This window comes from Homo sapiens, chromosome 14 (assembly GCF_000001405.40).
Source record: "Homo sapiens chromosome 14, GRCh38.p14 Primary Assembly".
In the NCBI taxonomy this organism is placed as follows: Eukaryota; Metazoa; Chordata; class Mammalia; order Primates; family Hominidae; genus Homo; species Homo sapiens.
In genome coordinates, this window is record NC_000014.9 from 27,195,614 (window position 1) to 27,209,113 (window position 13,500).

At 32.9% G+C, this 13,500-nt stretch overlaps 1 long non-coding RNA gene across 2 annotated transcripts in view; it reads left to right on the forward strand.

The window, feature by feature from the left end:
• The window catches only part of LOC105370420 (uncharacterized), a 129,914-nt gene extending 118,378 nt beyond the window's left edge, over positions 1-11,536 (forward strand). For both annotated transcript variants that reach the window (XR_943662.3, XR_001750686.2), the window contains 2 exons: positions 10,224-10,520; positions 11,443-11,536. This is a non-coding gene — a long non-coding RNA (uncharacterized LOC105370420). The remainder of the gene's footprint in view (positions 1-10,223; positions 10,521-11,442) is intronic.
• Positions 11,537-13,500: the final 1,964 nt, after the last annotated feature.

Genomic DNA, 13,500 nt, shown 5'->3' on the forward strand with positions numbered 1-13,500 from the left:
AGTGCTTTCTGTAATTTGAAAACAAAAACAAATCCTTAGTTTCCCTGTTAATTTAGGGCTTTGCCACTCATCAAACTTTCTCCTAATTTACTTCTTCCATATCTACATACTCTATTCAATGTCATCCAGAGTGGTTTAAATTTTTTTAAGTTTATGTTTTACACATGAGGCTTACTTTCTTCATTAAATTGTAAACATCTCAAGGGTAAATAACGATATTTATGGTATGGGAGGTGTAGGAAAGATCGAAATCTACATACATTGGTGTTTTAAGATCTAGATCTACCACTCTTAAAGAGTAGTAAATGGGAAAGATCCTAAGAATTCCTGCAATAGAAAAGGCCAGATGAACTGTTGTTTTTGTTTTTCACCAGTTTTGTAATCACACCACCTTTTGTTGAAATGTCAGTCAAAAATCCTATCCTCAGGACAAATCCCATTGTCTTCTTTTCTGTATTTATACATAGAACCTGTACCTATAAATTGAGATTCACATATCACCTGTTGAGAATACATAATATTAATGATTTCTCTGAAATCTAAATAAAAGCAATGATTAGTTGTCACTTTTGTTTGTCTAACAAATAGACAAAAATAAAAGTTTATTAATAAAAATGTTCATTAAAGAAAAACTTAATGGTGTTTATTTGTAAAGGTGTAGAAAGAAAAAGCTATTCCAATATTGATTTGGTAAGAATATATAGAGAGACAATATTTTAAAAGGCAATTTTTAATCTATAAAAATGTTCAAACTTTATGACTAACAATACTAACAAACTGTCTTATAAAATTGATAATACAAAAATAAAATATAGAAATATATATTTTACAACATCATTGCAGTATTGCTTTAAATACAAATCAGAACTTGCTTAAATTATGGTTGAACAAAACATGGTGCACCCATGCAATGTACTATTCTCATTAAAAGGAATGAATCTACATGTACATACTAATTTAGAAGATGTGCAAAAAAGTTTTTATTTTTAAAAAACACTAAGGAGTATATATGGTTTGAGTCTATTATATTAAAAAACATTGAGGGAGAGTATGTTCAGGGCAACTTAAACCTATGCTCCCGGCTTGCAATCCTCAAATGTGGCCCAAATAAACACTCTATTTATAAAAATAAATAAATAAAAACTCTATTTTAAAAATACTTTGAAAAAGCATATGTGTATATTTGCAAATATATACCTATGCACATTTATTTACAAATACACAAGAATTATAAATTCTGCAAACCTAGAGAGAGAAATGTGGAGTAAGATATATCAAAAACTCAGAAATATTTTTTTTGATGAAGAAATGCAAAGCAAATTTTATTTACTTCTTCTATTTACAGTGGGTAGTGTTTACTCTTGGAAGCATTTGAGTGTGTGAGGGCTGACTTTTCAAGTAATAATAATAATAAATGCTATCAGCTTTGTTCCCTATAAAAATGGTGTTTGAGTAAAAGAAGTTATGTATGTAAAATGCATGGTATATATTTGACTTTCTAATCGACAAACTGCATTATTCTTGGGCTGTTTTCAATTATTATTCGTATGAGAACTATCGTATAATCAGTGTTCTGTTCAAACAATTCACAGTCATTCTCAAGTACCCACAGTAGAAAATTATTTTGCAATTCTTAAGATGATTATTAGAATGCTTCCTCATTTTTTCTCAGAATTTTAGGAACTTTTAAAATCTATGGTTCTTGAGAGTGTGTGTTGAGCACATACAGAAGCATAATCATGTATGTTTTCTGTTCCTTTGACCTTCTAGTTTCCACTAGCAACCTTAATATATGATTCCAAGACTGTCTATTAACTATCACAAGTTAAATTGACTTTAGCAATATCCAGTTTGCAAGAATTGCTTAGTGAAATTCCAACTCTGTTTGTCTTGAACTTCATGTCTCAAAGAACTCGTGTGATCACCAAATGCTCATTTTGTTCATTCAGTTGTACATAGAATCATTCATGTTTTTCGTATCTTTATTCCTTCGCTGATGAAAGATAAGGTATAAGTGCAAATGTAAACTAAGTAGAGGATGACAATAGAAAAAAACCATAATTCAAAGAAGAGGAATCAAGGTAAAGAAAAACTGAAACAGTAAACTCAACATACATAACCTATTTCTATATAAAAGTCACATTTTCTTAGTGTTAATTTTTTTGGAGATCTAGTATTTCATCTTAGATAGAAATAGTTCAGTAACATTAAAAAAATTGTTTTAACTGCTCTGTCAAACCCGTAAACAGACTTAGTCACCCTGATCAAATAGTCAATGTAAGTAGTTTTTGATAGAGATGATTGAGAGAAGTTTCTTTGTTTATTCTGATTTTCTTTCCTAATGTATTCTATACCTGTAGATCCAAAATAGCACTTGTCTGCCAAAATTATTAATAAAATATTATACAATACTTAGTTTCACCATATGTACATGAAATTTTTAAGTTCTTTAAACAATTGTTGATGGATGAAGTTTAACATACTAGCGGCCTTAAGGATCAGTGTCAACTGAATGAGATTCCTCTTCCTGAGTGAGCTCCAAGTCACCATCCAGCTACAGGTTTGGAATATTGTGGAACTCGGCTATCTTCTGAGGTAGCCCCTCTCATCCTTGGAATGAACATACTGTGCTCATTTCTTGGTACCACACTTTAAACTGCATGCTGATAAGCTGAAATATGTGTAGGGAAACTTAACCAAGATGGTGAAGAGTAAGAGCAAGAGCTGAAGATTTTATATATATTTATATATATAATATATATGTAAAATCTATATATAATATACATAAAATCTATACATTATCTATAAAATCTATATATTATCTATAAAATCTATATTATATAAAATCTAGATATATAACATATATATATAAAATCTATATAGAGATGTATCTTATATGTACTTATGTGTATATTGCACATATATACCCTTTGCATAGTCACACACAGATGTATGAAGATATATATCTTCATATATACACAATATATGCATATGCACACTTCATATATATACACACACGTGTGTGTGTGCATAATACATCAGAAGAGAGTGAATATGAATATAACTCTCTTCAAATGTTTGAAGGGATGTAACATAAAAGAAATGTTGAAAGTATTCTTTATAGCTTCAAAGGATCCAAAGTGGACCAAATATAAAAGTTATACAAAAGTAGATAATAGGTTAGTATCTTGATTTAAAAAAAAATTCTTTCTTTCTAATAATGCTCTATTTTCCTTCCAGATATCATAGATGCTCTACCAATTATGTCTATATCATCATCTATGTTTCTTTCTTAATCCTGTAGACAGGGGCACAGAGTTTTATAGCACATTGCTGGAGATAACCTCTTGATATTATTACTAATTGACAATTATATATCTATATATCCTTACTGTTCCCTAACACCATAGTTCCCCCAGGTATGCACAAGGATGCCATCGCAGGAGTTTGAATGTGGAAATATTTGGAAATTGTCCTTAGCAATTTTACAACATCATCAAGATAGGAAAATAGTTAAATCTGGCAACACTTATTATATGAACATATGCTACTTACCAGTGATTAGTTTTTCTTGTACATAAAATATATTCAGAAATGAATTCCATAATGTTTGCTGGGATCCATGTTCCATGTATTCATTTTTACTTTTCACAGTTGAATATATTTTTATTTGTCAATACGGTTTTTTTTTAACCTTTCATTTTCTGACTGCTTACCAGTTTTCAGCCTTATGATCATTGCACAAAAAGATTGCTAGGACAGAATAATTCTAGGGAAACAATATTTCAGGCTTAGCAAGTATTTCTGATGTCTTTTTTCTCTTTTTCCCTTTTCTCCCTTTCTCCTTCCTCACTCCCTTCTTTCCTTTCTTTCTCTCTCCATCCCACACTCATTCTTTCCTTCCTCCCTCCCTTCCTTCTTTCCTTTCCTTCATTTTGTTCTTTTCTTCTTTCTTTTACTTTTCTTCCTGTCAGCTCATAATATGGCTGGGTCCATCTTGAGCTTGAGATCTCAGCTTAGAGGTCACGTCCTGAGAAATGCTTCCCTAACTCTAAGCAAAGCATCTAATCAGCTCACCACTCCCATTTATTGCTTTTACTAAACTTATTGAAACTTGTGACTTTTGGGTCATTTCAAAATGTATCTGCATATAATTTTCCATCTTTATTAGAATATAATTTCCACAACACCAAAGACAATGTATATATTTTTTTTCTTTGTTCTTTTCCTTTTTTTTTTAAGATGGAGTCTTGCTCTGTTGCCCGGGCTGGAGTGCAATGGTGTGATCCCAGCTCACTGCAACCTCTGCCTCCCAAATTCAAGCAATTCTTATGCCTCAGCCTTCTGAGTAACTGGGACTACAGGCGTGCATCACCACACCTGACCAATATTTTTATTTTTAGTAGAGACGGGGTTTCACTATGTTGGCCAGGCTGGTCTCGAACTCCTGGCCTCAAGTGATCTGCATGCCTCAGCCTCTCAAAGTGCTGGGATTACAGGCATGAGCCACTGGGTCTGGCCAACAATGTGTATCTTGTTTTCTCTGCATTTAGCACAGTTACTGATGTATATACAGTTATATACTTGAGTGTGTGCAGATATTTGAATAAATGTTGCATGAACACTTTAAAAATTAATTAGCCTTTTTATTTATTCATTAAACTTATGTTTATTGAGAAGCTTTTTCACCTGTCCTCGTTTTTGGTGCTGAAGATTCGAAATCTGTACTAGATCCAACTAAATTGGCCAGCTAAATGTGGGTGAAAATTTGAGTTTTTGATAGGTTATACCAAAGTTTAAACCAAATATTTTGCTAACTGATCCAACCCATTAATTCCCCCCAAATATTTGAGGTATCTATTTTTAATTTTCAGCCTGATATTTAGTCTAGAAATATCTAAAACCTAAGTTGTAATTTTCTTTCATTTTTTGTTTTATTGCTCATGTATATTATTTAGAAAATAGTGATACACTGTTAAATGCTCTGCTTAAAGGAAAGAGAAACATGTTTGAAATAATTTTAAGTAATACATATCCCTTTTTTAAACCAAGAAATTTTTATATAATCCTCAAATCAGTTAATTACCTGTCTCAAACGCTTGTTTTAATTGAAAGCTTCAAAATATGAAAGAAAATATCTATTAGAAGGTAACTGACGTACTGACAACTTTTCTTGTTTCCAAGATTTTTTTTTTCTTTTTAAATAACAGGTGTGGGGGACTGTCTTTTGCTATAATTAGAAAAAAACTGACTCCTGTCTCTATTAGAGTAAATTAAGTAGATTAAAAAGAAACCCACCCAATCTCACAGATATTCTGGGCACATATCTTACATGGCCTGAAATTTTCTTTTCTTCCAAAAGATCCTGAATTGAAAGAGAAATAGATGCCTACTGACTAATGCAGGAAGAGAACCTTAGGCGTACATTTCATGTGATAATTGCTTTTCTTTTACATTTAGGAACTACAGGCAAAATGAGAGAAATAGAGCTGGTTTTATTACCCAGAGGAAAAGCAATCACTATGCTTGTCAGGTCTATGAGCATTTCTCCCATCCTGGGAAATATTTGAAAAATAAAATTATGTTGGTGGCTATCTTGCAGTGCACTCAATTAAAGTTAAGTTGTTAGATTTTTCCCTGAGAAATGTCAGCTACTGCCATTACCAAGTATCTGACCAGGTCACGTGGAAAATAAACGTGTTCACACTATACTATCTGCGTTTGTCAGAGGCAGAGCTAAAAAGAAAGACTGAGGAGCATCTCATGGATATTCATTCTAGTTTCACTTGGGGCAAATTATATTCACCCTGCAAACTCTTTGACCACAAACTATTCTCTTTTGCTGCTTCATTTCCCTCCGAAATTTAGCACAGTAGAGAATTTTATAATTTAAAAGTGTAGATCAAATGCAACTGGTTTGTACATAGGCTAGATGGAAATTTGAAGAAATCTGCCTTATAAAACATGAATAGAGAATGGATACAATTAGTAACTGGCTGGTCTGTTGAGACTATAACAAAACCTCTGATTTTAGTGACTATAAAGAAGAGAGTGGTAAAAAGAGTGAAAGAGTGAATGAATAAGTTGGTAATTGGGTTTCTCATATTCTCCTATTTGGAAAATGTCACATTTCAGAGATTTTGTTGCCTTTCTTTTCAGGACAGAAGGTTAGATTCAAGAAGGCTTTTGTGGATATAGAAAGGGCAAATTGCCTCATCAGTCAAACACACCATCTTCAACTCCTCTAATAACTCATTCCAACACTCAGCTGAGGCCCAGACCAAAGGCCAAAGTCTACTACTGAGATATATGAAGAGGAACATATGTATTTTAGACTCAAGAACTCAAAAAAAAAAACTAAACAGAAACAGCTTTTCTAGCACAGTCTATGATTTCAGAATGAGATTATCATGATGCATTCTTAATCCTAATCTGTTCACTGATGTTTGTCCTTTGTGACTACGTTATCTCCCATTTCAGCTATTGTATATTACATTACTTCTAGTTATTTCAAATAACTATGAGCATTGTTCACAGTCATCTGTCTCATTAACTATGTAACTTTGTCTGCCCTGCCTCTAATTTTTAATTTAAGGGTGGTGACACCACCTGAAAATGGCTTCAATTCCAGTACTTTTAAATTTAGATTTTTACTAAAGATGCCTCCTTAATTCCTAGAGAGGTGCAACTATGATTAGTTTTGTAAATGCTTAGCAAAGATTTGTTATTATATTTGTACATTCCTAAGAATTTATCTCCTAAGGAGTAACAATTCTATTACTATTTTGTCCATTCATGTATTCATAGGACTCCCAGCTCAAGGAATATCCAGCATAATTAGTTTTATAGTTATTCTGGCTCTATTTGATTTTTATACTATTTTAAGTTATTCTGACTATATTTTCTGGTTTTACAATATTTTGCTTATCATAGGTTTTTATTGATATGAAAGACACAAAGTAGTCTGCACAAATTGACATCCTTTACAAATCTGATTATGTTAAATTCACTTAACAGAGGAAGCAGTAGTGACCAACACAACGCAGGATGAAAAAAAGAATTCATTATTTTCTTATTTTCTCTTAGATGAGTAAGCTTATTTGTATTAATTTGATTTATCACTTGAGATTTTTAGAGCACCATCTATGAATTCATTTTATATGGAGCCACTTATCTCAGTGTGATTGAAAAACATAACAAGGCAACATCGTATTGATGCCAAGACAATATGAAAACATAGACTATTCAGGAAGGAACTAGCTTGGCAAAGGAGTCTTATAATAATAAAGGCATGTATATGAATTATTTAGCCAAACATAGAACTCGTTTAGCTCAGAATGTTCTCTATTGGAAAGCTTGAATATAAATCAATACAAGTATTTGTGAGAAGAAAGTGAGGCTCTGGACTACAAATAATTAGTGGAATCATTGCTTAGTAAAGTCCAATTTCTTAACAATAATGGTTGAAATTAATAATATGGAGTAAGCAATTAAAATGTCCAATTATGAACTACATCTGAAACTTTACTTGCAAAAGATTAACAACAAATGAAATAGTGATTCTAGGTTTTTATTATTACTCTTTGCTTATCATTTTTTTCTTTTTAAAAAATACACAATCAAAGAATTATGGAAAGTTAAAGCTGAAATTGTACTAAGATATCAAATCCAATGTGTTCATTCTAGAGGCAAACACACTGAAACTTCACCTATGTTTACTTTAGTTCTGCAAATGTCAAATCTGATTTCAGACACTCTTCAAATATATGTTTATTTGCTCTTTGAATATGCATAATTCTGTTTCAAACTTACATTGCACATATCTTTGATCAATGTACAGTGTTTAGTAATTTGTTTAATCCTAAAGGTGATCTTCAAATATTTCCATTTCCCTTGTTAAATAAGGGCATGAATTACATACGGGGAAATAGAGGGACAGAATGAGTAAGTGACTGTCCTTGAAGATAGGTAAATGCTAACTAACTTCCATATCTTACACTGAGCCTATATTCCTCTTCAGTTAATAAATAGTAGTATTCATTAGTATTGGTATATTATATGTAACTATGGTATCATATATAATATTAGTATTGGTATATCAAACAATTTGTCTTACAGTGTAACCACAGAAGCTAAGATGGAAACCTGTTTAGATAATTGTCTGTGTAAGCTGCTAGCTTGACGTAAGGCCATTGTGGTAACTGACTATAGGGAAGCAGTAAGAGCTGGGGATAAAACTTTATATTCTCACACAGGATTTAATTGTGGGTGGAGTTTTGCAAAGGGCAAAGCAAAAGAAGTTGGTGAACAAAAGCATAAAAAATGCTTCAGATTGGAATAAGTTTTGTAACTTTTCCAAGTCTTTTTTTATTTCGGGCTACATCATAAAAAGATTGATCTGTATTTCATACCTGTATTGCATATACTAGGTAAAAAGTCTCTGCTGTATAATACGATGTGCCTATAGTTGAAAAATTATATGGTTGAGAAGTCCCCCTTTTACTCGAATACCTTATCATGGAGTTTCCCCTGAAGGTTGATATCTACAGTGAATGAGGTTTCTCCTAGTGAAAGGCCATGAAAAACAGATTTTAATTCTATAAATATATACCTACACCCAAACCCCTCCCCAGACACCTTTAAAGGTGTTGGCAATCAGCATAGGTTTCTGCCATCTGGATTGTAAGAATCTCTTTCTTCAACCAGATTGCTGCTTCTTTCCAACTACACACTTTCCAGTACTATCAAATATTTCACTGACCTGTTCTATCTTTTCATATCCTAGTCTACAGAAATTTCTAGTTTCTTCCCTCTGAAAATTATATTGGTACACAAATATTCAATGGCATGAATTAAGATAGAAGGGCTTACCCTTCTATCTTACCTTATCCTGGTATTTTTTTCCCTTAGTACATGGCTTCTGTCCCTGAGAACAAGTGGTTAGGCAGATTTATTTTGAATAATATTGCATAGCCCTAGAATTCAATATTAAAAAAAAAAGTGAGTCACCACTGGTGATTTGGAATGTTAGGTAGGAATTGAGCAAGTTTATAATCATTGAGGAAGCTGAATGCCAATTTAAATACCTTTTATTCCAGTGGGTCTGGAAACATACTCTTTAATTAGAAGAATATGAATTCACCTATCCCCAGAATATTGTTTTTAAATGAAAGCAAGTTTATTAAAAACCTTGTTACATTCCTGTTTTTGTATGTTTCTGTGTATGCAGGGAACAAATAACAAAGAACTACCAGCACAAACACCAGTTTTTAGGGATTCTGAAATGCCAGAATGTTTTTGTCTCTAATCTCTACTACTATGGAGGATAACTGCCTCTATGTTTTTTAAAAAATAAAGTAACGTGGTAACTTAGTATAAAGAAATGCATAATAAAAGACTTAAGCCAACCTCATACATCTAAGTCTTTTTTAATCCATGTAAAGACCGACATTTCCTCCTTTACTTTTAAGAAGGTTAATTTATGGAAATCTGTATAGGATACTTTCAAACCTGCAGTTCTTGGAAAAGAATGACTTGTAGTCCTTTAAATACTAGAGCTGTGCAAGAATGTCCATAAATAATTCTTATTCTCCTACAAGAAAGAGTGCTAGGAAATGTGCAGACATTGCAGATTTTTAATGTTTTCTCTGCTTGCATTTGTATAACAATAAATGAGAATAGATTTCTAATATCCATTTCTATTACATGCATTAGCTGAAGCTGTGGGGGTAAAATGAAATATTTCCTATGCTTTGAGACAGTGGGGAAACTCATATGCCTACATGTGGGTAGAACATTGAGTATTTCTGTTTTGTTTTGTTTTGTTTTTTTCCAGAGTAGCTTAAAATGTTCTAGGGATTGCTAAATGTTACAGAGCATTTAAGCACCATTTCCACTAATATTTTTGAAAGGATAAATCAGTTTCATTAAAAAAAGCCTTATTGAGGGAAAAGTTACATCAAACTAACATGGACATGAACAGGGTGAGAGTGTACACTTCTTGTCACTCTTTTCTTACCCATGTATAATTAACGTGTAAACAGCACTATAAAACTGAATTGTAACAAAGGTGTTATTTCCTCAGCCACTAGATATTAAAATTAAGCTGATATTTAGAACAATATAGTCTGTTTTCTAAATGTTGATTTGCCTGTCTCTGAGTTGATTTCTTTACTTTGGGGCTTAAGATGTAATTTCCCATAACATATTCTTTTTTAATACAGTGCACACCTGTATACCCAGTCTTTGGCAATACACATTACAGATACTGGCCAAAAAAGAATTAGAAAATCAGTGTCAAAGTTGGATTGTGGTCCCTGAAGACTTAGATTAATGGAATTCTGCTGGAAACATAAAGGTTGTTTCCCTGCTGTTCACATCTGTTGCATCCTGGGAAAAAAACAAAAAGGAAGATGTTATGTGAAGAGCTGATGTTTGCATCGCCGACTCTCCCTGATTTGTGCTGATGATAGCTGAAGCTGCAGTCTTGGCATCTTCTACTGCACATTGTCATCAGCAAGGTAGGAACACATCCGTGAATTAAATTAGAATTCAATGAGAAAATGAGATTTATTTGACAGAAATTCACTTCTAGTCTAATTTGCAAGAATGCAACTGTTATAAAAGTTACAACAACAATATTTGAAAATATTACTAAAGGTAATCTATCTATAAAGAAAGTGACTTTAGAAAATATTTATTCAAAGAAAAGGAAATTATAAATATCATGTGAGGAACTCAGGCCACTGTCAAGGTGAGGAGAGAAAGCCTCATATAGTTACATAAACAAATGTCCTTCGTATTCCTCTTTTTCGTTTTACAAAGATCTTTGCTAGTCATCTACCTTTTATGAATAAAATTAGTGACAAGAAATGTGCTAAGAAATTTTACATGTATTATTAACACTTTATTCTAGGACTTAGACACTACTGTTATCTCCATTTTACAGATAAGGAAACTGAGACGTAAAGAGATTAAATTATTTGGTTAAAGGATCCTTCTAATTGATGTAGAGCTGAAATACCAATTACAAGTCTTTATCAGGACTGACCCTACATCATCTGTTGTAGAAACGGAAAAGAGTGGATATAGAGAAAATACAAGATTAAGTATTGATAGGATGTATTAACCCTGTAATGAGGCATGTGAGAAAGAGTGAACAGACTAGAATAACTCCCAGATCCAGGGGTCTCTGTAACAGGAGAGAGAACACAGAAACATGATGATATGGTTTGGCTGTGTCCCCACCCAAACCTCATCTTGAATTGAAACTCCCAGAATCCCCAGGAGTTTTGGGAAGGACCCAGCAGAAGGTAATTGAATCATGGGGGCAGGTCTCTCCTGTGCTCTACTCATGATAGTGAGCAAGTCTCATGATAGCTGATGGGTTTATCAGGGGTTTCTCCTTTTGCTTCTTTCTCATTTTTCTCTTGCCACTGCCAGGTAAGAAGTGCCTTTTGCCTCCTGCCATGATTCTGAGGCCTCCCTCCCCAGCCATGTGGAACCGTAAGTCCAATTAAACCTCTTTTTGTTCCCAGTTTCTGGTATGTCTTTATCAGCAGTGTGTAAATGAACTAATACAGAATAGAAGACTGGGTAAAATGATGAATGAGAATAAAGAGTCTGTGTGACAGCCAAATCACCTGGAACTCATAGGAGAGTCTTGATCTTGAGATACAAAGGTATAAATAAAATGTAGGTTGTAGTTAAAACTGTGAAGATAGGTGGGATTATTTCATGAAAGATAAAGGTTAATGTAAACTGAGTAAAGAAGAAAAATCACCAGCAACAATACTGAGAATACATAACCATGGTAACAGGAAAATAATCAGTGTCTTGGAAGTTATGCAGTGTAATGCTTACCAGTGTTAAAATCTGTAGAGAGCTTAAGCCAGGAAAGGTTAGGGTTGAAAAGTGGCTATAAGATTTGGACATTAACAGCTGACTAGATAATCATTAGGGAACAAAGTGAGTTAGAATAAGATTTTTTGGGGAAAGAAAAATAATCTTAATTGATCAATTTAAAAGAGTGAGAACAGATTCAGAATATTTGGACAGAGAGATGTAAATGTGAGGTTAATTGACTGATAGAAACTCTTAATATATCATGCATGTAACTTTCAGAGAAAGACCAAGATAGAGGATTTGAAATCTCGAACCCCGGGAAATATGTTCACCAAGCTATTAATTTCAATAACTTGAAAGATACTTGCTATGTTTTTATTACTCCTTTTTATTGCTTGTCACTATCAATTAGGTGACTTTGGAGGGAAGTGTGTCTCGATAGAAAACGAATTTAAAGTGTTAGAAGTAAAGTTTCTAGAATGGATACAGAAAATAATTCAGGATGAAAACTAGAAGGAATGTTATCCTAAAAATGTGCATGATAATCCTTAGCAGCATAACAGATGGAAATTTGGGAAAGTATAAAGACAATAGTGACAAAGAGTGGTATAGATTATTCATCACAAGCCATGGGAAGATTCCAGAATTAAAAACAAACAAACAAAAAAAACTAGCACCTCAAGTTCTGATAGAACAATAACAAAGTTTGTAATCATAAGAAAGCTGGAAGAATTATGTCGTGAATCTCAGGAGAAAAGATAACTAGTGGTCTTGGTTCCAAAGAAAGAGGATACAGACACCTTCTGGGGGAGGGGCAGGGGTAAAAGTTGGAGGTATGTGCAAACAAAGCCATTCATCAACCCTCTTTTATTTCATTATTAGCTTTTATTTTTATCAGACATGTCTAATATTTCTACAGGTTTATTTTGAAACATAGCACCCAACTGTAACTCTTTCTCAATGACAATTGCTTCTATTTCTTCTAACTGATTATTTTCAGAATCAACTCAAGTTTCGAGATAATCGCCTCCTATTATTAGTTCTTGTTATTTTAGTGTTGAAATATTATCTTTTGAGTTACAACTATAAAAAATAAGAGCATAGGTCTTTTTCCTTTCCTACTTTCTATTCCATTTTTCTTTTGGAGTTTATTTTGCTTTCTTGTTTGTGTATGTCTAATTTAATCCTAAACTTCTGCCTACTCTTATGTTATTTCTCAAGGCATTCTGGTGCATCAGATATTCTACCAATCCCATCTTTATGAAAAGTGTTTTTAGGATTCTCTCACTTATTGCAATCTAGGTGGTCTGCTGCCTGTACCTGAGCACAGCTATCACACTGGAATCTCTCCTCTGCATCATCCTGACCATCTTTTAATCCCTCTCCTGTCTTGTCTTTCACTCATTCATCCATTATTTATTTTATCTAGTCATATTTATTGTCTTTTGTGTATGTCAGTGCCATTCCTGATGCTAGCTATTAATATATTATCAGAGGAAGAAAAAGAAACAGCTAAACTCATCAATCTCATTGGCCTTAAATTCTTTCGATAGTTAAACAAATAGCTTCAATAATCTTTTCTACTTCTACATAGATTACTGATATCAAGTACAAGAAAAACCAAGGAAAATTCATAATCCTGGAATATTGTGGAAA